The sequence below is a fragment of the Homo sapiens genome, chromosome 19 (genome assembly GCF_000001405.40).
Source record: "Homo sapiens chromosome 19, GRCh38.p14 Primary Assembly".
NCBI classification, from domain to species: Eukaryota; Metazoa; Chordata; class Mammalia; order Primates; family Hominidae; genus Homo; species Homo sapiens.
In genome coordinates this window covers 42578683-42603755 of record NC_000019.10, presented here as the reverse complement: position 1 = coordinate 42603755, position 25073 = coordinate 42578683, and the positions used below count along the sequence as shown (strand labels likewise).

The following is a 25073-nucleotide window of genomic DNA, read 5'->3' as shown; positions in this document are numbered from 1 at the left end:
AAAAGACAAACCTCCCAATTTATAAATGGGAAAAGGACTCAAATAGACATTTATTCAAAGAAGATATACAAATAGTTGAGGACATGAAAAGACCCTCAACTTCATTAGTCATTAGGGGAATAGTTACCATTCTTTTAAAATGTTAAATAACAAGTGGGAGACTTATGTAGAATTTAGAATCCTTATACATTGCTGGTGAGAATACAAAAAGGTACAGCCACTATGAGAAACAGTTGTGCTCTTCCTCAAAGAGCTAATCATAGACTTCCCATATAAAACAACATCCTTTCCTAGGTATATACCCAAAAAATTGAATCCAGAGACTCAAAGAAGTACTTGAATGGGAATGTTGATTGCAGCACTATTCACAATAGATAAAATATAGAAACAACCCAAGTGTCCATCAACACATGAATAGATAAACAAATATGGCGATACATACAACAGCAAGTTAATCAGCTATAAAGAAGAACAAAACTCTGACGCACACTGGAACATGGATGGACCTCGGAAACATTATGCTATTGAAATATGCCAGAAACAAAATGACATATGTGTATGACACCACTTATATGAAACATCAAGAATAGGCAAATTCATAGAGACAGAAAGCAGACTAGAGATTACCGAGGTCTAGGGTGGACAAAATCGGAAGTTATTGTTTAAAAGATACACGGTTGGCCGGGCGCGGTGGCTCAAGCCTGTAATCCCAGAACTTTGGGAGGCCGAAGCAGGCAGACTACAAGGTCAGGAGTTTGAGACCAGCCTGGCCAAAACAGTTCAAACCCCATCTCTACTAAAAATACAAAAAAATTAGCTGGGCGTGGTGGCACACGCCTGTAATCCCAGCTACTCTGGAGGCTGAGGCAGGAGAATCGCTTGAACCCAGGAGGCAGAGGTAGTAGTGAGCCGAGATCGCGCCACTGCACTCCAGCCTGGGCAATAGAGAGAGACTTTGTTTCAAAACAAAACAAAAAAAAAAAGATAAAGCGTTTCAGTTTGGAATGATGAGAAATTTCTAGGAAAGATAGTGGTGATGGTGGTTAATTCCATTTGATTGCACATTTTAAAGTGGTTAAAATGGCATAATACATAATAAATGTATTATGCATATTTGTAAATATGTATCATATATGTATATGTAAAACCCACCCTGATCAGATAGCCCTCATATACTTATATGCAAACCCTTCATGACTTTATCCAGAGGGAGATCCAAGAATTTGGAGACATGAGGCTGCCCAGCCAACTGCAGATGCACAACTTAAATGTATTTGCAAAGAGACTGAGAATTAAGCTGGGGGCACAGACCTCAGCACTGCCAGGACAACACCCTCCCCATGGATTCTGACTTTATCTGACCTGGCCCACTATCCAGACCTTGATGTGGGGGTGGGGCAGGGGAGGTCATGAAGCCTGTTCTCTGGACACTCTGTGTAAGCACACAAGACCCCCCATTAGGTCTCCAAACACAGCTCTGACTCTCTGGACATTGTGGGAAGGAATCTATCTTGGGCTCAGGGAGCACACAAGGCAGTCAGTTACAGAGAATAACATGGAGCTTGAGGAGCTGGTCGCTGACACAGAACAGGTTCCCTGCAGTCCATGGTCCAGCCCACTCTAATGTACCCACCCCACTACAATCCAGGCACCCCTGAGAAACAGCTTTTGGGCCTCCTCTGGGGTGACACATCAGGTTCCCTCACTGTCAAACTGTCCACAGAGAGCAGCACCTTGGACAGCACCCATTCCAGCTTCACACTTCCTCCCTGCCAGGGATCAGTGTTCAGGGCTCAGAAGAAATGGCAGAGGCCAGTGAGCCCAAAGATGGTGAGAGGGGCAGCAACCCAGGGGCAGCTCCCTGGAACGAGAGCAGGTGGGGCCACACGGAGAACGTGGTGCAGGAAGGAATACCCAGGAATGGGCAGGAGAGGAGTCGAGGACACAGGCTCTGTGGGTCTGCAGCCTAGGGTGAGATTATGAGTGTGAAGCCATCTCAGCAGAAAAGGCCAGGTCCCATGAACAGGAGGGAAAGCAGCTCTCACCTCCCCTGCTAGAAACTGAATAAGTCAGCCTGTAATCCCAGCACTTTGGGAGACCAAGGCAAGTGGCTCATTTGAGGTCAGAAGTTTGAGACCAACCTGGCCAACATGGGGAGACCCCATCTCTACTAAAAATACAAAAATTAGCCAAGGCGTGGTAGTGCATGCCTGTAATCCTAGCTACTGGGGATGCTGAGGGAGGAGAATCACTTGAACCTGGGAGACAGAGGTGGCAGTGAGCCAAGATCATGCCGCTGTACTTTAGCCTGGATGACAGAGTGAGGCTCCATCTCAAAAAAAAGAAAAAAGAAACTTAATGTGTCCCCCACAAAATTGTTGAAACTCTCATCCTTAATGAAATGGAATTTGGAGGTGGGGTCTTTAGGAGGTAATTAGAGAATGACTAGGTCATAAAGCTGGGGGCTTCATGATGGAATTAATCCCCTTATAATAAAAGGAAAATACAAGAGAATGGCATCTCTCCTTCTCCCTCGCTCTGTCTCTCCACCCCTTCAAAAACCCGCACCATGTGCAGATACACAAAGAAAGTAGGCATCTGCAAGGAAGCCCTCACCAGGGCTGAGTCACCTGTCTCCTTGACCTTGGATTTCCCAGCCTCCATAACGATGAGAAATAGATCTCTATTGTTTAAGTCACCCAGGCTATGGTGTTTGTTATAGCAGCCCAAGCCCAGAAATACATCATCTAGCCCAGGGTTTTGAGTGAAACTCTTCAGGTTCTCTATCAAATTAGCTGGCAGCTCCTGTCCCCAGCAGCACCAAGGCCTCAAGAAAAGCACTCCAGCAGGGGCTCAACCTGCATGGGTCCCTTGGGTCAGCCTCGATGTCAGGCCCCAGATGGCAGGTGAGGCTTCAGTGAGTGACACAACCACAATGTAAAAGTGTAAGAGTTCTGGACAGGTGTACTGGCTCATGTCTGTAATCCCAACACTTTAAGAGGCAGGTGGATTACCTGAGGTCAGTAGTTTGAAACCCGCCTGGCCACCACAATGAAACTCCATCTCCACTAAAAATACAAAAAATTAGCCAGACATGGTGGCACAAGCCTGTAATCCCAGCTACTCGCGAGGCTGAGGCAAAAATGAACCCAGGAGGCAGAGGTTGCCATGAGCAGAGATTGTACCGCTGCATTCCAGCCTGGGTGACAGAAAGAGACTCTGTCTCAAAAAATTAGAAATAATAATAATAAAATAAAGTGTAAGAGTTTTACTACTTACAGACATGGGGGAGCACACAGCACACCTGGAGACCACAGACACAGAGGTCAGGGAGCCCAGGGAGGGAGGAGAGAAGAGTCCTGTAAGCCAGTGGCTTTACTGGGTCCACAGAGTTATCCGACAGGTTTACAACAGGGAGCTTTAATGGACAGGTTTAAAACAAGTGAACACTGGGTCAAGGAGATCATACTGTGACTGAGAGGTGGTCACTTTAAATTTGAGGACAAATGTCAGAATGATCAGTTTAAAGGAAGCAGCTGGAGGGAGGGGAGCCCAGGAGAGATGCCTCTAAGATTTTATCTCTGGCCACCAACTGGAGCCTTTTTGACCGGGTACAGTATTGGAAACTGTCATGGTGACCAAGTCCTGCCTCTGATATGAGGCAGTTAAGCTTACACCTTAAGAAATGGATGCCAAGGACACATGAAATTATGAGCACTCACAACACCCAGGAACACAAACAGTGGGTTGCTGTGCCCCAGAACCAGGTGCTGTGCCCCAGAATTTGTCCCTGACAACAAGAAATGAAGATGATTTGTCCCTGCTCCCCCTGCTCCCCTAACATTGATATTCCCGCCCTGCACCTCCCTCTTCTGCTCCCAAACCCCTGCCCAGTGCTCAGCTCAAGGCATCATTGCACCCCGGGCATACACAGTACAACCTACTGCACACAAACACAAACTCACAGAAGGTGACACAAAATCTGCATTTGGAACATCTGACTGTGAAAGAGGCAGGGCAGTGAACTTGCAATCACAGAGACGGACTCATGGGTCTGGAATGTGATGGAGTTCTCCTATACACCAACAGTGACCAGGCTGAGAATCAAATCAAGAACTCAACTCCTTTTACAATACTGGAAAAAAATACTTAGCAATATACCTAACCAAGGTGGTAAAAGATCTCTACAAGGAAAACTACAAAACACTCCTGAAATAAATCAGAGATGACACAAACAAATGGAAATACATCCCATGCTCATGGATGGGTAGAATCAATATTGTGAAAATGACCATACTGCCAAAAGCAATCTACAAATCCAATGCAATTCCCATCAAAATACCACCATTATTCTTCACAGAACTAGAAAAAAAAATTCTAAAATTCACATAGAACCAAAAAGAGCCCACACAGCCAAAGCAAGACTAAGCAAAAAGAACAAATCTGGAGGCATCACATTACCTGATTCCAAACTATACTATAAAGCCATAGTCACCAAAACAGCATGGTACTAGTATAAAAATAGGCAGATGAAACAATAGAACAGAACAGAGAACCCAGAAACAAACCCAAATACTTACAGTCAACTGATCTTTGACAAAGCAAACAAAAACATAGTGTGGAAAAATGACACCCTATTCAACAAATGGTGCTGGAATAATTGACAAGCCACATGTAGAAGAATGAAAGTGGATCCTCATCTCTCACCTTATACAAAAATCAACTCAAGATTGATAAGGACTTAAATCTAAGACCTGAAACTATAAAAATTATAGAAGATAACATCAGAAAAACCCTTCTAGACATTGGCTTAGGAAAGAGTTCATGACAACCCAAAAGCAAATGCAATAAAAACAAAGATAAATAGCTGGGACTTAATTAAACTAAAGAGCATTTGCACGACAAAAGGAACAGTCAGCAGAGTAAACAGACACCCCACAGAGTGGGAGAAAATCTTCACAATCTATACATCTGACAAAGGACTAATATCTAGAATCTATAATGAACTCAATCAAATTAGCAAGGAAAAAACAAACAAACAATCCCATCAAAAAGTGGGCAAAGGACATGCATAGACAATTCTTGAAGAAAGATATATAAATGGCCAATAAACATATAAAAATACTCAACATCACTAATAATCAGGGAATGCAAATCAAAACCACAATGCAATACCACCTTTCTCCTGCAACGATGGCCATAATAAAAAATAATAGATGTTGGTATGAATGTTGTGAAAAGGGAACACTTCTACACTGCTGGTGGGAATGTAAACTAGTGCAACCATTATGGAAACCAGTGTGGAGATTCCTTAAAGAACTAAAAGTAGAACTACCATTTGATCCAGCAATCCCACTTTTGGTATCTACCCAGAAGAAAAGAAGTCATTATACAAAAAGATACTTGCACATGCATGTTTATAGCAGCACAATTTGCAATTGCAAAAATGTGGAACCAACAAAAATGTCCATCAATCAATGAGTGGATAAAGAAACTTGGTATGTATATATATGTGTGTGTGTGTGTGTGTGTGTGTGTGTGTGTGTGTGTGTGTATGATGGAATACTACTCAGCCATAAAAAGGAATGAATTAATGGCATCCTCAGCAACCTGGATGGGATTGAAGACTATTATTCTAAGTGAAGTGACTCAGGAATGGAAAACCAAACATCGTATGTTCTCATTCATAAGTGGGAGCTAAGTGATGAGGATGTAAAGGCATAAGAATTACAAAATGGATTTTGGGGACTCAGGTAAAAAGGGTGGGAAGGGAGTGAGGGAAAAAATACTACAAATTGGGTTCAGTGTATACTGCTTGGGTGATGGGTGCACCAAAATCTCAAAAATCACCACTAAAGAACTTACTCATGTAACCAAATACCAATCGGTTCCCCAAAAAACCTATGTAAATAAAATATATATTTTTTAAAAAAAGAAAAAGAGGGGTAGATCTTGATGACTTCGAATGTGGTAATGGATTGTTAGATATGACACAAAAGCATGAGCAACAACAAGGAAAAAGAGATAAATTAAGCCTTATGAAGATGCAAGCCTTTTGTGCATCAAAGGACATTATGAAGAAAGTGAAAAGACCAGGCACAGAATGGGAGAAAAAATTTGCAAATTACATATAGAAGAGCTTCCTGTCCAGAATATATAAAGAACTGCTACAACTCAATAACAAAAAGACAAACCACCCCGTTTATAAATGGGCAAAAACTCAAATAGACATTTCTTCAAAGAAGATATACAGGCCGGGTGCAGTGGCTCATGCCTGTAATCCCAGCACTTTGGGAGGCTGAGGCAGGTAGATCACAAGTTCAGGAGTTTGAGACCAGCCTGGCCAGCATGGTGAAACCCCACCTCTACTAAAAATACAAAAATTAGCCCGGCATGGTGGTGCACGCTTGTAGTCCCAGCTACTTGGGAGGCTGAGGCAGGAGAATCGCTTGAACTCAGGAAGTGGAGGTGATATATGAATGTACATATATACACTCTACCACAATTTTTTGAAAAGTCTTTGGTGAAGAAAACCTACTACGTAAAACATACCCACCCTAATCAGATAGCCCTCATACACTTACATGCAGTCCCTACATGACCTTATCCACAGAGAGATTCAAGGATTCAGAGACATGAAACTGCCCAGCCAACTGCAGATGCACAACATAAATGTATTTGCAAAGAGACTGAGAGTTAAGCTGGAGACACAGACCTCAGCACTGCCAGGACTCTCACCCTCCCCCATGGATTCTGACTTTATCTTACTTGGCGCATTATTCAGATCTTGTTGTGGAGTTGGGGCAGGGTAGGTCATAAAGCCTGACCCCAGGACACTCTGTGTGAGCACATGAGCCACACACACCCCATTAGATCTCCACACACAGCTGTGACCATTGTGAGGAGGACTAACACAGGCTCAGAGATCACACCAGAGAATCAGCCACAGAGAAAAACACGGATGTGGAATGTGATGGAGCTCGACATAACATGTGGGTGACCTCGTGTGAAATGTGCAGATCCATGTGGAATAAAACACGCAGCCGGACCTGGGACTGCGGCCACCCACACTTCCCTTCCAGTCCACCAGAGGGCGACAGAGTCCCTCCAGCCTGGAGCCTTCCCAGGGGCTGCTGACCTCCCTCAGCGGAACCCACAGCCCAGCAGGGTCCACCCTCACCAGGGCACCTCGGCCCACGTCCTCCTTACCCTCCAAGCTCCCCATACGGACTCTGTCAGCTCCTCCCTGCAGCCAGGCAGCCGGCAACATGAGGCCGCCCCCTCTGCAGGCAGCTCCTGCCCCACACACCCAATCCTTCCCTGGGCCTAGTTAAGGCATCTCCCAGGGCAGCGCTGGTGCACGGGATGCCACACTGGGCGCTTTCCCCTCGTGACCTCCCTCCATCCTCATCAACTCTTTCTGTGACTGCTCCCTAAATACCCGCCCCTGCTCCGTGTGTCCTGTTCTCTACGGCATGGCAGGCTGAGCCCAGCGCTGACAGAACCACAGCTGCCTGAGGGCCCACAGTGCCTCTGGGGAATCAGCCAGGCACCCTATGACCTTCCCTCTGCACCCCAGGAGGCTCGGAGAGTATGTGATGGTCACGCCCAGGCACTGTCTGGGATGTAGCCACCTGCCCCCTGCTGTCCTTCGTGAAGCCAGGAGGGAGGACAGCGCTCTCTCATGTACACAAGCTGGGGGGCAAGGAATGAGCTCCCTTTGTTCCCAGAACATGGCCCACCCCTACCTGCCCTCTCAGGTGTGAGCAACGTCCCCCCAGACGGGCTCCCCGGCCGCTGCCCATCCTTTCTCTACACAGAGGGGCCTGACCAGGTCCAAACCCTTAGGACAGACCCCAGGGGATATCAGCATGGGGAGGGCTGAGCCCATCCTGGCTGCAGAGTAAGTTGGGATGAGTCTCTCCAGCTCTGAGCCCCTGCTCTGTCCCAGGCTCCCTCTCCTGGATCTCAGAGAGCACTGTCTTGTGGGGCCCCTGGGCAACTCCCCACTTCCTGCTGCACCAACCATAGGGAAGGTGGGGTGACCACAGGACAGTCAGCCGGGCGAAAACAGAGGACACCCAAGATGGTCAGAGAGAACATGGAAGGCCCGAGCCCCAGCTCAGCTGCCAGAACCCAAAGAGCAAGAGAATGGCTGATACCTGTCCCTGATGACCACTAGGCCCACAGCCCCCACTGACCAACCAGAACAGCCCTCTCTCTCAGGAGGCATAAGAGATTATTTGCCCTGCACACCACCAGTAAGGACAGTCCCCTCTGGGATATCCAGGGCATTGAATGTCCATCCTTGGAAGCTGCAACCAAGCTTGACACAATGAGAGAGGGGGAGGATCCCTCTCACCAGTGAGCACACACCTCCCCAAAGCTCAGTGGTGGTGTCCCTGTGACAGGGTCCTTGCGGAGCGCTGACCTCCTGATCTGAAGGGAAGAGCCAGATGGGGATGGGAGAGGGCAGGGGGAGCGACTGTGCACCCCGACCTGGAGACATAGGCTGCAGGATGCTGAGGGCACAGGGCTGTGCTCACCCAGTCTCCAGGGTGTATGTGTGACTGTGTGTGTCTCTTTGTGTATGTGTGTGTCTCTGTGTGTGTGTGTCTGCATAGTGTGTGCAGAGGTTGGGTGAGAGAATCACTGCTGAAGGAGTCAGAGACCTCAGCAATTCCCAGGGGCCTGAAACACAGACAGAAAATAAAGGGAAAGGAGGGACAGGGAGGCAGGACTGAGAGGGGAGGGGACAGAGAGGTGTCCTGGGCACAGACCCCGCCCATGAGCCTGAGAAGTGCTCCTGCCCCGGGAAGAGGCTCAGCACAAAAGGAGGAAGGACAGCACAGCTGACAGCCGTGCTCAGAAAGTTTCTGGATCCCAGGCTCATCTCCACAGAGGAGAACACGCAGGCAGCAGAGACCATGGGGCCCATCTCAGCCCCTTCCTGCAGATGGCGCATCCCCTGGCAGGGGCTCCTGCTCACAGGTGAGGAGAGGACTTCCTGGGAAAGGACAGGAGGAGGAAACACAGTGACTGGCTGGGGTCTCCTGGGGAGGACGGGGCTCTGAGAGGGGACAGAGGACTTCTGTTGGAGCCTTAATAGAGGAGAGGACACAAGAGAGGGGAAGGGGTCACAACAGGAAAATCACATTGAACTGGAATTGGTAAGAGGCAGGAACATCTCAAGTGTTCCATATTCCTGGTTAATCATCACTGGCCACTACATTTTGAAAAATGATAATAATAACCATACCAGATGACACTTCAAATAAAGCATAACCAGGGTATGAAACATTGTCCTCAGCCAACAATGTCAGACATTGGCAAATAAGCCTCAGGAAGCAGAGGGCCCAGGGAATGCTCAGGAACTCATCCACAGGAGTCTGAAGCCTGTCCCAGGCACTGGGGTGCAGCCAACACCACACAAGTCCCTGCCCTCACAGAGCTCACACTCTCCTGGGGAGGAAGACAGACAAAGAGATCTAGAATGTGAGGTCAGGCGCTGACAGGAGCCCTGGAAGGAACACAGCAGGGAAAGGTCAGAAAGGGAAGACCCAGTGTCTCTAGAGGAGGTGTCAGAGAAAGGGTCTCCCAAGGATGCCCTGATGTGAGCAGGATCTGAGGGCAGTGTGGAGGGAGCCGTGCAGAACCCTGAAGAAGAGGATTCCACCAGGGAAATGCCAAGGTCAGAGGTGTTGAAGAAATGGGGGCTGTGCTGCTGACATTGACTCAGTAGGACACACACACATACACACACATAAAAACACACAAACTCCAAAGCTGATGTCCCCATTTTTCTACTCCAATACATATGTTGCAATATTGCTTGATGCTCTCTCCCCCTCCTAGCCTCACTTTTCACCTTCTGGAACCCGCCCACCACTGCTCAGCTCACTATTGAAGCTGTGCCATCCAATGCTGCAGAGGGGAAGGAGGTTCTTCTACTTGTCCACAATCTGCCCCAGGACCCTCGTGGCTACAACTGGTACAAAGGGGAAACAGTGGATGCCAACCGTCGAATTATAGGATATGTAATATCAAATCAACAGATTACCCCAGGGCCTGCATACAGCAATCGAGAGACAATATACCCCAATGCATCCCTGCTGATGCGGAACGTCACCAGAAATGACACAGGATCCTACACCCTACAAGTCATAAAGCTAAATCTTATGAGTGAAGAAGTAACTGGCCAGTTCAGCGTACATCGTGAGTGATTCCCCATGACCTCTGGGTGTTGGGGGTCAGTTCTACTTCCCACACACAGGATTGTTAGGCCTGGGCTGTGCCCATGTCCCTCTCTGCATTACATCCCACTTTAGGGTTTGGACATTTAGTGCAGGACACACTCAGGGGAGACAGACTTCCACAGACCAGAATTCCTTTCCTGCATCCAGACCCTGCAGACACTCACGGCAGAGGAATGACAGTCTGATGGGGGGACTCAGCAGAAGGAGATCAGACTCAGCCAGGCACCCCGTGCCCTCCCCATGGACCTGACCCTGAGAAAAACTCTAAAGAACTGGGTCAGGGCCTGACCTGAGGGGCTCCCTGGGATCCTGGGATCCTCACAGAGAAGTTCATCCCTGGAAGCCCCTGCTCCAGACCCCTGTCCCAGGATCCTGACTCCAGGTAACCCTGGGAAACCTGTGCCAGCACTGGGTTGTAGCCTCCTGGGCAGGGCCAACTAGGAGCAAAGATTTACCAGCCATCCAAGGGCTGTGGCTCCTGGAGCTGCTCACCAGCCAGGGCTTAGACCCCAGAGCCTCATCTGGGCAAGGACAGAGTCTTGTCCTTCACCTGAGACTCAGAGTGGAGAGGACAGATGGACAAGCTTCTTAGGCCATCAGCCAACTGGCCTGGGAGGCTTAGGAGACTCCATAGAAAGTTCAGTGTCCCCAGGGACAGAAATAGAAGAAAGATGTTCCTAACAGCAACTTGTCCAGCAGGGATCATGCCAAGGGGACCCTCTCATGGAGGCAAATAATAACCCGTGCTGTTTGTGTGAGCGCCTCCTCTGTGCAAGCTTCAGGTCAGGTGACTATGGATAATTTAATGCTAATTCATAGAAAACCTGGCAGAAAATATCATTTTCCTATTGAGAAAGAAATAATAATTCTTTTTATTTCTTTTTTTTTTTTTTTTTTTTTTTGAGACGGAGTCTCTGTGGCCAGGCTGGAGTGCAGTGGTGCGATCTCAGCTCACTGCAACCTCTGCCTCCCGGGTTCAAGCGATTCTCCTGCCTCAGCCTCCCGAGTAGCTGGGACTACAGGTGCATGCCACCACCCCTAGCTAATTTTGGTATTTTTATTAGAGACAGAGTTTTACCATGTTGGCCAGGATGGTCTCGATTTCTTGACCTCATGATCCGCCTGCCTCGGCCTCCCAAAATGCTGGGATTACAGGCATGAGCCACTGCGCTCAGCCTATTATTTCTTTTAATAGAAGCTTATTATTGAGAAGAAACGGAGGCACAGGAAGACACAGTCACTGAACCAGGGTCACACAAACACGAGGGATAGATCAGGGTCACATGAGGTCTCTCTCCAGCCACAGCCCCGTCCTCTCTTCCACAAGAAGGCAGGGCTTATTGCGTTCCACGGACCCCATGGTCATCCATTGGCTCAAATCCTTTCTTCCTGAGCATCCAAAGCTCAGAGAAGTGAGAGCAAATAAGCAACTGATTCATTCGTACTCCAGAACTAAATCACCTGCCCCAACTGTCAGAGCCAGTGCGAGGAATGTCCAGGCTCCCTCTAAGATCCTAACCCCCCTCACTGAACCTGAAATCCTGTTTCCTGATGTGTTGCTGTCACTCCCATGGGAGGACAAAAGAGAGGACTTTGCTTTCTCTCCCCACTCACACCCTGCACCAGGACAGGCCCAACATGTGACACACACTCGATCGTTCTCTCATGGAGAGGGAATGAATGAGAGAATGAATGATGCAAAACCTCTTTAGAGACTAGATCCTGGATGGCCAGGCAGGTGCTGTCTGATGGGCTTACTGCCTGTTCCACACACATCTGTGTCCTCATGATGGCACCATTGTGATAAGATGGGGTCCTTCAGGTGGGGAGACGCATGAGCCACTGGCGTCTCACTTAGACTCTGTCCAATTCGCAAAAACCTAATCCAATTCTACTTGTGTCTCCCGAGGTCAAGAGAAAATGAAGAAAGCATTGCGCATACCTGTTTTGGGCTCCTCCCAATTTTGCCTAACTCTGCATAGGAATTAGGGGCAGGAAGCTTTCTAAATTTACTAACATAACACACATCGCTTCTCCTAATTTGGCATTGTTCCTCCCTTTATGGAATTGACACACCTAAGACTTCCTCTCTGACCGGTTCTGTCCTCTTAACAGGACTCACGTGCCTCCCTCTACCTGGGAGTTGCTAATTTCAAGCGAACTTCAGGATCTTCCTTTGAGCATAATGTGATCCTGCTGGAATTCACAGGACGCCTAAACCTTATTTTGTTATCAAGAGAAATACTCCTTCCACCAATTGATTTTAGATCTGTGGACAATTAATAGCAATTTCTACTTATGGAAAAAAATTCATGTTTCCTCCAATTTTGTTTTTGACTATAGTCAAAACATAATATCTAAACTCCTGACAAATTTTAAAATGCAAATTAGAGTTACACATTGACCATCAAAAATCCCAAATCTGAAATGCTCCAAAATTCCACATTTTTTGGCCACTAACGTGATTCTCAAAAGAAATGCTCACTGGAGCATTTTGGATTTGGGATTTTCAGATTTGAGATGCTAAACCAGTAAGTATACTGCAAATGTTCAAAAATTTATAAAAGTTAGAAATTCAAAACACTTTTGGCCCTAAGCCTTATGCATAAGAAATACTCACTGTATATGAGCTATAGGCACAAAGCTGTACAGCAGATCTCTAGAACCTCCTCATCCTGTGTAACTGAAACTGCAGACCCATGAACAACTCTCCATTCCCCCCACTCCCAGCCCATAGCAACCACCATTCTACTACGTGATTCCATGAGTGTGACTACCCTAGGAACCTCATGTAAGTGGAATCCTACAGTATCTGTCCTGTCAGTGGCTTATTTCACTCTGTATAATGTCCAGTAGGAGAAAATATTTGCAAAACTTCTTCCCAAATTTCTCTCTCATAACTGTCAAACACCCACGGTCCATGAGGGCCAAATTTCCAGCACTTCAGGCTCCCCCTCCCCACCCGTCAGTTTGCATTTGCAAATGTCCACATGTATTTATGGGAGGATCCACAGCTCCTCATCTGCCCCCCGCAGGGAAAGAAGGGACATTAAAAACCAAGGAAAGGAAACAAGGTTCTGCTCCAAAGCCACCTGTTCTTGCCTGTCCCCTTCACTCCTTCTAGATCATTCCTTGGACTCTGCTCTATCTTTAGAGGTCACTGACTCAAGTAAGTCACGATGAAACACCTGGGAAAAACTGCCCCACCTTGTGGCTCCACTGCCTGACGACGGAACCGACCTCCAGGCTTGCCCCGGCCTCCCCTGTGTTATTTCTGTTGAAACACCCAGTCAGGAATTAAGGATAGTGGCATGTCCCATCATCTCCCATCTCTAGAATGTTCTTGGAAACAGAACCCTCAAAAACACACCTCGAAGGGCAAAGTAGGACTGTGAAGCTGGAAGGGACCCAGCACCTACATGTTCCAGGTGAGGACCCCTAGGTAGGCCAGGCAGGCAGCCGGTCAGGGAGGGACCAGAAGAGGCACCAGGATCTGTAACTCCCAGTCCTGGGTCTGTCCACAACCCAGCGCTGCTGCCCAATTCACATTTGAGAAAGTCTGTGTTTCTCCCACACAGAGAAGGCGGCCTCATGGTCTCTGAGCCCCGATCATTGTGCATCTGTCTTGTGACACACACACCCACCGTGGGCTTTTAAGGACTCGAGTAGGCTGAGAGGTGGGAGATGCCAACTCTAATTGAAATTTGCCTGTGGAGGAATCAAAGGTGCCACACAGGGCAATCTTCTCTCTGTTTTCTGCACAGCGGAGACTCCCAAGCCCTCCATCTCCAGCAACAACTCCAACCCCGTGGAGGACAAGGATGCTGTGGCCTTCACCTGTGAACCTGAGACTCAGAACACAACCTACCTGTGGTGGGTAAATGGTCAGAGTCTCCCGGTCAGTCCCAGGCTGCAGCTGTCCAATGGCAACAGGACCCTCACTCTACTCAGTGTCACAAGGAATGACGTAGGACCCTATGAATGTGAAATACAGAACCCAGCGAGTGCAAACTTCAGTGACCCAGTCACCCTGAATGTCCTCTGTGAGTATCTTCTGTTCCTCTGTGGCCCAGGCCACCAGCCCAAATCCACGCAGCCAGAGGCCAGGCCTCTCAGTCCCTCTCAGCTCCAAAAATGCAGATTCCCCACCCACCCCTAGAAACCCAGCTCGTCATGACTTTCTGCCCCAGGCAAACATGGGTAGGCCTAGCCTTGACCAAGAATAAGAGGGGAGGGGGTGCTCCTGTCATGGGAGACTTGGAGTCCACATCTTCTGATGGGAGAAACAGGTAAATGTCTCGGACTCTGTCTCAGTAGAAACAGCGGGGGTTTGGTTGGGGTTGGTTGGGACTTGGCTCAGGTTTGTGACTTGGCTCAGAGGGACACTGTGGCTCTTCCACAGACCAGGAGCTTCCCCTTCCCTCTGATGACATCACCTGTGACTTTATTCTTTTGCTCTAGATGGCCCAGATGCCCCCACCATTTCCCCTTCAGACACCTATTACCATGCAGGGGTAAATCTCAACCTCTCCTGCCATGCGGCCTCTAATCCACCCTCACAGTATTCTTGGTCTGTCAATGGCACATTCCAGCAATACACACAAAAGCTCTTTATCCCCAACATCACTACAAAGAACAGCGGATCCTATGCCTGCCACACCACTAACTCAGCCACTGGCCGCAACAGGACCACAGTCAGGATGATCACAGTCTCTGGTAAGTGGATCCCTGGAGCACTGGCAGTATGTTTTCTGGTAGAGTCTATCTGGCTTTCAGAGATGAGCCAGAAAAAAAGTTTTATTCCCAGCCTGTGTCCAACAGCACAAGCAAATCCCCAACTTTTCTCCTAAACCCTCCCAGTTTATCTCTATAGACTCTCTTCTGCCTGTTTTTCTGATTTCTCTTGGCTGACCTCGGGGCTGACCTGAGAAACGTGGAGAGGGGCCTTCGTCAGCCCCAGAGCCCTATGTCATGGAAAGGACTTCACCAAGGGGGAAGAAGGAGGGTCCTCAAGGTCAAGTTGCTTTTCTTTGTCACCAACACATGGCACCCCTGTTTCTGTTACCCCTTTGTTTTCTTTTACCTATGCCATTAGCTGCAAGAAACATCCAAGGCTTTGAAACAAGCCCACAACGTTCCCCAAATGGGAGGAGGAGCCCCTTGGATGACGGAGGAGCAGCTCAGACTGCTCCCATCTCTGCTCCCAGCTCCCTGGTGACAGGCCCTGCCCTGACTCCACCTGGGGTGGGACCCAGGTGTATGGAAAAGGTGCTCAGGTGGCCTATCCCAAATCTGGCTAAATCAAGTTGCCAGTTGAAGCCAAGCCTCCCCCCAGTCAGGCTGCACAAAAATGGGAAGACAGGGAGCCTCCGGGAAGACTCCTGAGCAGTGTCCTAGCTCTGAAGTCACGGGCTGCATGAGGCTGTGGATACAACACAGAGGACAGTGAGTGATGCACACTTGGAGACACAGGGAGATTCAGCCACAGGGTCTCTGCATGAGAGGGAAGGGGTAGTGCCAGTTGCCCAGGCTGGAGTGCAATGGCACTATCTCGGCTCACCCTCCGCCTCCTGGGTTCAAGCAATTCTCCTGCCTCAGCCTCCCAAGTAGCTGGATTACAGGCATGTGCCAACACGCCCAGCTAATTTTGTATTTTTAGTAGAGATGGGGTTTCTCCATGTTGATCAGGCTGGTCTCGAACTCCCGAACTCAGGTGATCCACCCGCCTTGGCTTCTCAAAGTGCTGGGATTACAGGCATGAGCCACCACTCCCAGCCACCATTAACTATTTCTATGCGTGCAATTTAGTGTTATGTAACCATCACCACCATCCATTTCCAGAACTTTTTCATCTTACCATATTAAATAAACTTCTCTGCCCAATAAAGAGTAACTCTCACTCCTTCTCCCTCTAACCCCTGGCAACCTCCATTCTACTTTCTGTCTCTATGTAATTGATTATTCTAACAACCTTATATAAATGGAATTATATAATAGGTGGCCTTTTGTGTCTGGCTTGTTTCACTTAACATAATGTTTTTAAGGTTCATCCATTTTGCACCATGTATCAGAATTTTCTTCCTTGTTAAGATTGAAGAACATTCCATTGTATGGATACACCTCACTTTTCTATCCACTTATCTTTCAATGGACTTTGCAGTTGTTTCCACCTTTTGGCTATTGTGTGACTAATGCTGCTGTGAACATCAGTGTACAAATATCTGTTCAAATCCCTTCCAATTCTCTTGCATATATGTCCAGAAGTGGAATTGCTGGATCCAATGGTAATTCTTTGTTTAATTGTTTGAGAAACAGCCATACTGTTTTCCACAGTGGCTATAACATTTCACACTTCCATCAGCAATGCACTAGAGCTCCAATTTTTCCACTTCCTTAAAAACACTTGTTGTTTGTGTGTGTGTGGTTTTTTTTTAATCAAAGCCATCCTAATGTGTTTGAGGTATTCTATCATTGGGGTTCTGATTTGCATATCTCTAAGTATCAGTGATGTTGAGCATCTTTGCATGTGCTCATTGGCCATTTGTATATCTTCCTTGGAGAAATCTCTATTTCAGTCTTTTGTCCTTTTTTAGTTGGGTTTTTGGATTTTTGCTGTTGTGGATTTGTAGTAGTTCTTCATATACTCTGAAAATTGATCCCTTATCATACATGATTTACAAATATTTTTCCCACTTCAAGGTTGCCTTTTCACTTCCTCGACAATGTTCTTTGATATATAAAAGTTATTGATTTTCATGAAGTCCAACTTACCCATTTTTTCTTTTGTTGCCTATGCTTTTGTTGTTATAACCAAGAAACCACTGTGAAATCCAATGTCATGGAGTTTTTTTCCCTGTGTTTTCTTCTGAGAGTTTTATAGTTTTTACTCTTACATTTGGTCTTTGATCTACTGTGGGTTAGTTTTTTGTATATGGTGTCAGGTAAAGGTTCAGCTCATCTTTCTGCATGGATTTCCAGCTTTCCCAAAATCATTTGCTGAAAAGACTGCACTTTCCCCATTGAGTGGTATTGGCATCCTTATCAAATATCATTTGGCCATATATGCAAGCATTCCTTTCTGGGCTTTCTGTTCTATTCCGCTGGTTTCTGTCTTCCTTTACGCAAGTACTGCATTGTATTGATTACTGTGGCTTTGTAGTAAATGCTGAAATCAGGATTCAGCATTTTTTTTTCAAGGTTCCTTTTTTCATGATTGGTTGGCTATTTTGAGTCCTGAAATTCCATATGAACTTTAGGATAGATTTTTCTATTTCTGCAAAAAAATGTCATTGGAATTCTGATAGAAATTGTGTTGAATCCATAGCTCACTTTGGGTGGTATTATCCTCCTAACAATACCGTGTCTTCCAATCCATGAAAACAAAATGTCTTCCCATTTTTTGAGGTCGTATTTAATTTCCTTCAGCAATGTTTTCTAGTTTTCAGAATACAATCCTTTCACCTCCTTGGTTAAACTTATGCCTAAGTATTTTATTCTTTTTGATGTTAATGTGAATTAAAATTTTTTTCTTAATTTCCTTTTTAGATTGTTCATTGTTAGTGTATAGAAATGCAACTGATGTTTGCATGCTGATTTTGTATCCTGCAACATTACTGAATTTATTAATAAATTCTAACAGGTTTTTTTCATCCTTAGAGTTTTCTACAAAGAAGTTCAAGTTGTCTGTGAACAGACAGATAATTTTACTTCTTCTTTCCAATCTGAAAGTCTTCTTTTTTTCTTGCCTAATTTCTCTGGCTAGGACTTGTAATACTATGTTAAATAGACGTGGCAAAAGCAGGCATCCTTGTCTTGTTCCTGATCATAGGGGGAAAGCTTTCAGTCTTTCTCTATTGAGTATGATGTTAGCCTTGGGCTTTTCACATACTGCCTTTATTATATTGAGATAGTTTCCTTCCATTCATACTTAGCATGTTTTTATTAAGAAAGAATGTTGAATTTTGTCAAATGAAATTTTTATTCAATCTTCCTACTAATTATAGGTCTATTCAGATTTTTTGTGTGTGTTTCTTGGAATTTGTCCATTTCATCTAGGCTATCCAATTTATTGGCATACAATTATTCATAGTACTTTTGTAAACAATATTTCTCTAGAATTGATATATAATATCTCCATTTTCTTTTCTTTCTTTCGTTTTTTTTTTGTTTGTTTTTTTTTTTTTTTTGAGAGAGAGAGAAAGACGAGTCTCACTCCTTAGGTCAGCCCAGGCTGGAGTGCAGAGGTGCGATCAAAACTCACTGCAGCCTCAACCTCCTGGGCTCAAGCAATCCTCCCAACTCAGCTTCCCAGGTAGCTGAAACTACAGGTGCATACCATCATGCCCAGCTGAATTTTTGTTTTAATTTTGTAGAGACAGGGTCTCCCTATGTTGCCCCAGCTGGTTTCAAACTCCAGGCCTCAAGCAATCCTCCCAATTTGCCTTCCCAAAGTGCTGGGATTGAAGGTGTAAGCCACCATGCTGGGAGTCCATTTTCATTTCTGATTTTAGTAATTTCCATCTTGTCTCTTTTTTTCTTAGTCAGTCTAGTTAATGGTTGGCAATTTTGTTGATCTTATTTTGAAGAACCAACTTTTGGTTTCATTGATTTCCTCTATTGTTTGTCCATTCTCCATTTCATTTATATCCACTCTAATCCTTATTACTTCCTTCATTCAATATATTTGGGTTTAGTTTGTTTTTCTCCTGTACCATGAAGTTGCAAATTAGGTTGTTGATTTGAGATGTTTCTTCTTTTTTAATGTAAGACTTAACAGTTATAAATTTCTTGCACAAGATTCTTAACTTCTCTGAGCCTCTGATTCCTCAACTGAAAATTGCAGTAACAGTGTTTGCTTCATAGCATTGTTTTAAGAGTTTTATGTAATCATCAATGAAACCTTCAGCAAAATGCCCCACACAGAGGAAATGTTTCATAAATTTTAGCTGATATATTACTACTGTTATCATTAGCTTGAAGCTGAGTAGTCCTAGAATCAAATCTCAAGTCTACTTCTCACCAGCCATATGACATCAGGAAAGTTTTTTCACCACTCTAAGCCTCTGTCGTTTCATCTGTAAAATGGAAATAATGTTCTACCCAAGAGAGTTATTGTATAAATCAAATGAGGTAAAGTATTTAGCACAGGGCCTGGCCCATAGGAGCTGCCCCTCAACAGTAGCTAACATAGCATTAATCATCAGCCTGAGTTGACTGGTGAGGGCCAAAAGTAAATGGTTCCAATAGAAATAAAGAAACAGATGCAAAAGGTTGTGTGTGTGTGTGTGTGTGTGTGTAAAAGGTATCTTAGGTAAATACACACACATATAAAAAAAAGGCAACACAGGAAACACGAGGACATGGTTACTGGTTACACGTGAAAGAGAGAAAAAAAGCTAAGTGCAAAGAATCAAACCTGGTATGTTAGTTTTTAACCCACTGAGATGCAACCAAGATGAGATTAGACACGCAAGATAATTTACTAGGAAAAACACCTGTGAGGGAAAATGGGGCAGGTGTGAGAGGAGCCTGGGAGAGCCCTCAGACCACGATGCAGATTTGATTCCTGTGAAGGAGAAAGAAAAAGAAGTTTTAGATAGCAGTGCAGTTCTAAGTGAGTTTAGGCAAGGCTGATGGGGCGTCCTCCAACTAGTCACCCATCAGAGTTAAACAGAGTCTCACAAAACTGGGCTTGCTTCCATACCCCTGCTGGGAGCCCCTGGGAAGAGAGGTCTCTGTGCAAAGGAGGTGGTCAATTTGGAATGCACTGACCTGGGCCTTCTGTCAATCAGCTCCCTGCCATAGAGACCTGCCACAACTAAGACACTGAGAAAAAGATGCAACCATGAAAAGGTGGAAAGTTCTAATGACACATAAAATAGCAATCAGCTTTTTCACATCACAAAGCCTTCAAAATATCTGAGTAAAGAAATGCCAGGATGAAATTGACCGAAGACTGATCGTCAACCTAGAAACATGGTGAGAGGAAAAAATCCTGCAAGAATATAGTTGGCTAATCACGTCCCAGCAACCTTCCCACAAAAATAATGTATTCCTTGAAAAAACAAGTAGAGACTACTTCATGCTAGGAGCTGGTTCCTGGGGTACCCCACTGTAAAATGGCATCAACTTCATTCCTTCTCTTCTTTTCTTTCCATGACAGATGCTTTAGTACAAGGAAGTTCTCCTGGCCTCTCAGCTAGAGCCACTGTCAGCATCATGATTGGAGTACTGGCCAGGGTGGCTCTGATATAGTAGCTCTGGTGTAGTTTCTGCATTTCAAGAAGACTGGCAGGTATGATGGCCTTTCCTCTTGTCCTGTTTCCTGCAGGGCTGACCGCCATGCTTGGGAGAGAGACCTGTATCCCGGGAATGGATCTCCTCCTCCTCCCAATAAACTCCTGCTTCTCAGCACTAATTCCTGCAGGTCTCTTCTTCCCTGGTCTGCATGCTCCCTGTACCCCACTGTCTCTTAGATGTGATTATTCCCAGCCTCTGCTCATTTGTTTCCCAGATTCAATACACTATGAAAGTCTTTTGATCCTTTCTTAACATCTCTCACTTGTGTCATTTTATCCATTCCCATAGACCTCAACAACTGCTCGAAGTCCTGCTTGACTTCTTGTCTCTAGTATTTGAAATCTTCCTTGCATATGATTGTCTCATTACCTTCCTAAAATCTAGTTCACTCACTTACTCAAGAATCTTCAGAGGCCTACTCTGGCCTATTTGATAAGTTCACATTTCTTCTCTTTACTAATTCTTCTCACTTCCATTCCCTCTACTCCCTAGTATAATTCCTCCATCCTAATTAGAACTGTCTTCCTACACTTCCCTGCGCATCTACCCCATATACACATAGAATTCTTAGTTCCAATGCTATGCCTAGAAACAGGGTAATCTCCCATCCACTATCTGAACTGTGGAGTTGCCCACATACCCTTCAAAGCAAGCAACCTCTGACCTCATGGAGAACAACGACTCTAGCATTAATGTGTGAACCTGAGATTCAGGACACAGCCTACGTGTGGTTGAGAACCTTTTCCTGATGACCAATTCATGTGTTCATGAAAGATACAGAAATGAAAAAGGCAAGATCCCTACCCCAGAGAACATACAGCCTAAGACAGGAGATAAGATATGAAAAATAATCATAATACCAAAATAGAAAAAAGTGAATGCCACAAGAAATCAGAGAAATCTGATGGGAAATATAGCCACACATTGGAATCACTGAGAAATGTTTTTTTAAATGATGCTCAAGCCCCATCCATAAATTCTTACCTACTATCTGGAGTGGGACCCAGGCATTGGTAATTTTTAAGCCTTCCCAGATGCTACTAACATGTAACCAGGATGGAGAACTCCTGTTCTAATAGGTAGCACATGAGGCTAAAACAATGGTTCTTTAGCTGGGAGTATTAGAATTTCCTAGAAAACTTTTTCAACATATACAAGCCTATATTTTGCTGGCCCTGTTCATTAATGGGCTCCACCAAGAACTCAGTAATCCAGTTGAGAAACAGAAGCTAAGTGGAAAAGCCACCTTATTTTATATATATATATATATATATATATATTTTTTTTTTTTTTTTTTTTTTTTTTTTTTTTTGAGACGGAGTCTCGCTCCGTCGCCAGGCTGGAGTGCAGTGGCACAATCTCGGCTCACTGCAACCTCTGCTTCCCAGGTTCAAGCAATTCTCCTGCCTCAGCCTCCCGAGTAGCTGGGATTACAGGCACCTGCCACCACGCCCAGCTAATTTTTCTATTTTTAGTAGAGACGGGGTTTCACCATGTTGGTCAGGCTGGTCTCGATCTCATGACCTTGTGATCCACCCGCCTCGGCCTCCCAAAGTGCTGGGATTACAGGCATAAGCCACCACGCCCAGCCTTACTTGATATGTTAAATTACATGGAAAGCATTGTCAATTGATAAGTGGTGCTAAACCTTCTCTAAGTTATATTTACGGTTATGTTACCGATATGAGTGTTCCAAAAATTATGAGTTTCCTAGAAATCGAATATGTTATCAGTCATAATGTCATATGCCACAGAAGTAACTAAATTTCTATGTGGCTGTGTCTTTATCATAATGAGCTCTCCTCAGAGTTTTAACCATAGTCATTTTCAATCTTTGTCATTCACAGACAGTTGTTTTTATTCTTCCTCAAAGCATTTGCAATCAGCTACCATTCAAAATTGCTTCTTCTTCAAGATTTATGGAAAATACTCTGACGAGTACTCTTGAACACAAGTTCCTGATAACTTTAAGATCACGCCACTGGACTGTCTATGAACTTGCAAACAGGCTGATACCTTTGTGAAGTTGCCCACCAAAACACAGAAGGAAAAAAACATGAATTTCATTGAACTAAATAATAATGAGGATAATGTTTTTAAGATTTTTTTTTTTTTTTTTTTGAGATGGAATCTCGCTCTGTCGCCCAGGCTGGAGTGCAGTGGCACGATCTCAACTCACTGCAAGCTCCGCCTCCTGGGTTCACACCATTCTCCTGCCTCAGCCTCCTGAGTAGCTGGGACTACAGGCGCCTGCCACAACGCCCGGCTAATTTTTTGTATTTTTAGTAGAGACGGGGTTTCACTGTGGTCTCAATCTCCTGACTTCATGGTCCGCCTGCCTCAGCCTCCCAAAGTTCTGGGATTACAGGTGTGAGCCACCGCGCCCAGCCCGTTTTTAAGATTTTTTATTTGAAAAATTGCCAATTCTTTAAGTGTTTTCTTTTTCAGATTTATGAATTTCTTTATCTTTTAAGCTATCTATACCTTACTGCAATTTGGTAAAGCAGACTTTTGTGAACAAAAATTATAACATTTACTTTTGCTCCCTACCTGACTGCCACAGAACTGGGCAACTATTCATGAGTATTCATATGTTTATGGTAATTCAGTTATTTGCACAAGTTCAGTGAGAATCTGCTGTCTTTATAATGGGATATAGTTTAAAACATTGGTTATATTACCAAGGCTTTGATTGGGATGTTATATTTGAGAAAATACAGAGAATGATAGATTAACGGAGTGTCTAATCTATCGTGTCAACCCCAAATTTTTACGTATGAGATCCTTTAGTCCACCCAATGGCTGACAGTAACAGCATCTTTAACACAACTCTTTGTTCAAATGTACTATGGTCTCTTTTAGAGTCAGACTCCTAGACTCACTTGTTCTCACTGTCTGTTTTAATTTAACCCAGGCATGCAATGCTAGATAATAAAATTGCTCCCTATTGGCTGATCAGAGAGGAGTCTGTGTAGTTTATGATGCTTCTTGTTGCACATGGATAAATATATCGGGTATTATAGAGTCTCAGTTGCAAAAATTAACAAACATGCTACTTGGTTAAAATGGCTACACTCATCTGGTTCATTCTTTTATCTATTCTATTTCAGTTGGTTTGCATCTTACCAAAGGTGCATACTCCAAACTCTTAACATTATCTTCCTCATAGTCATACTACTGGTCTCCCTGGTGTGCTGTAATCTCTAAAAGTTTTAAGTGTTTGCGTGCTGCCATCCATCAAATATCAAATGGTCTCTATTTGGCTGGAACTACATAAACTCAAAGAAATGTGTGATCAGGAGGATATCATAACCTATAAACAATGGAAGCCAAAAATGATGATAACTGAGAGTAATGCTAATGCTTTAAGCTTTGGTCACACTCTCACTTAAGTGAGAGTCTAAAGACTCCAAATTAGAGCCACTCACACTAAATGCTGCATACTCCAACTGGAATTTTAAGGAAGCAGATCTCAAAACAGACCAATGTTTTCTGAAAACAGAAGATTCCAGTCTCCCTGAGTCAACATCATAAGGAAGTCCCCTCTGCTTTAACATTTACCCCAAAAAGAGTAACCTGAAGTACCCTGATGTTAACCAATCCATTTATTTCTATGGCTCTGTCTACTGGTTCCAATTTGACAAAACCCATTGCTCTGTTATTATGTTGCCCAGGGGGAGCTATCACTGTATGTGTAGAGTGAGAGCTGCCCCAAACCCTGAATCACAATTAAAAGCCAATCAGATCTATAACTACATTAGTTGAAATTTTGTCTTCTGATGCATGTTCACAGCCAGCAATGGTTAGTGGAGTCTCAGACTGCAGCATTTTCACCCTGACCTTCCTGCCTCACTCTTTCACTTACAAGGACCCTTCTGATTACACTGGGCCACCCTAGATTATCCAGAATAACCTCCCCATCTCAAGAGTGAAGTCTTTTTGCCAAATAAAGTAACATGCACAGGTTCCATGGATAAGGATGTGGACATTTTGGGGAGGCCATTATTCTGCCTAACACTGGTAACTTCCATAAACATCACCCACAACAAAAATTTCATTTGCCTTCTTTCTATATCTCATTGTTTTGTGTGAATCACAGGCAAGAGCACAAACTTTGAGGTGAAACACACCAGCTCTGCTATGAACTGGCTGGATGATCCTGGACCACTCACTTCACCTCCTACAGCGTTTTCTCATCTGCAGCACAAAGATGACTCTTACTGTTATCAGAAAATGACAGTCAAAGAGTAAATTAAGATGTGTAAGGTATTAGACACAGAGGCTGGTACCTGATGAGCACTTGGTAAACATTCCTTTCAGTCTGTTCTTTTCTCTATCCCATTTCTCTCATCCTCACCCATCTTCTCCTTCATCTCCTCTCTCTTCATCGACTTACATACTCTTAACTTGCCATTTAGAAAGAAGTCATGCTCCCCATTCTCTCGTGACTCTGCTAGAATGTTCTTGTGATAGAGTCTGCCATCCACTCAAGACAGCCCACATTTTTTATACAAAGAG

General features: G+C 44.9%; 1 protein-coding gene and 1 long non-coding RNA gene across 11 annotated transcripts in view, besides 1 other annotated feature; one reads left to right on the top strand and one right to left on the bottom strand.

The window, feature by feature from the left end:
• LIPE-AS1 (LIPE antisense RNA 1) overlaps nt 1-25073 on the bottom strand; it is a 255208-nt gene that overhangs the window by 48600 nt on the left and 181535 nt on the right. The window lies entirely within an intron of this gene.
• Nucleotides 6999-7499: an enhancer, noted in NCBI's record as "H3K4me1 hESC enhancer chr19:43100409-43100909 (GRCh37/hg19 assembly coordinates)". NCBI's record gives its function as "activates a minimal SCP1, AML or CMV promoter by ChIP-STARR-seq in primed H9 embryonic stem cells {active_cell/tissue: H9 hESC(primed)}" and the evidence as "EXISTENCE:reporter gene assay evidence [ECO:0000049][PMID:30033119]".
• Nucleotides 8832-23513, top strand: CEACAM8 (CEA cell adhesion molecule 8). 9 transcript variants are annotated; one of them, XR_007066548.1, is made up of 6 exons: nt 8832-8991; nt 9856-10215; nt 14021-14299; nt 14896-14972; nt 20048-20234; nt 20419-20506. XR_007066548.1 is itself a non-coding variant. In NM_001816.4 (6 exons), the coding sequence occupies exons 1-5, from the start codon at nt 8928-8930 to the stop codon at nt 20508-20510; spliced, it is 1050 nt and encodes a 349-aa protein (NP_001807.2). In that variant the 5' UTR covers nt 8832-8927; the 3' UTR covers nt 20511-20550; nt 22403-23513. The 9 variants fall into 9 exon arrangements, 7 of the variants coding, with proteins under 7 accessions (NP_001807.2, XP_016881684.1, XP_047294047.1 ...); XR_007066546.1 differs by having other exon boundaries at nt 14718-14972; NM_001816.4 differs by lacking the exon at nt 20048-20234 and adding an exon at nt 22403-23513 and having other exon boundaries at nt 14718-14972; nt 20419-20550.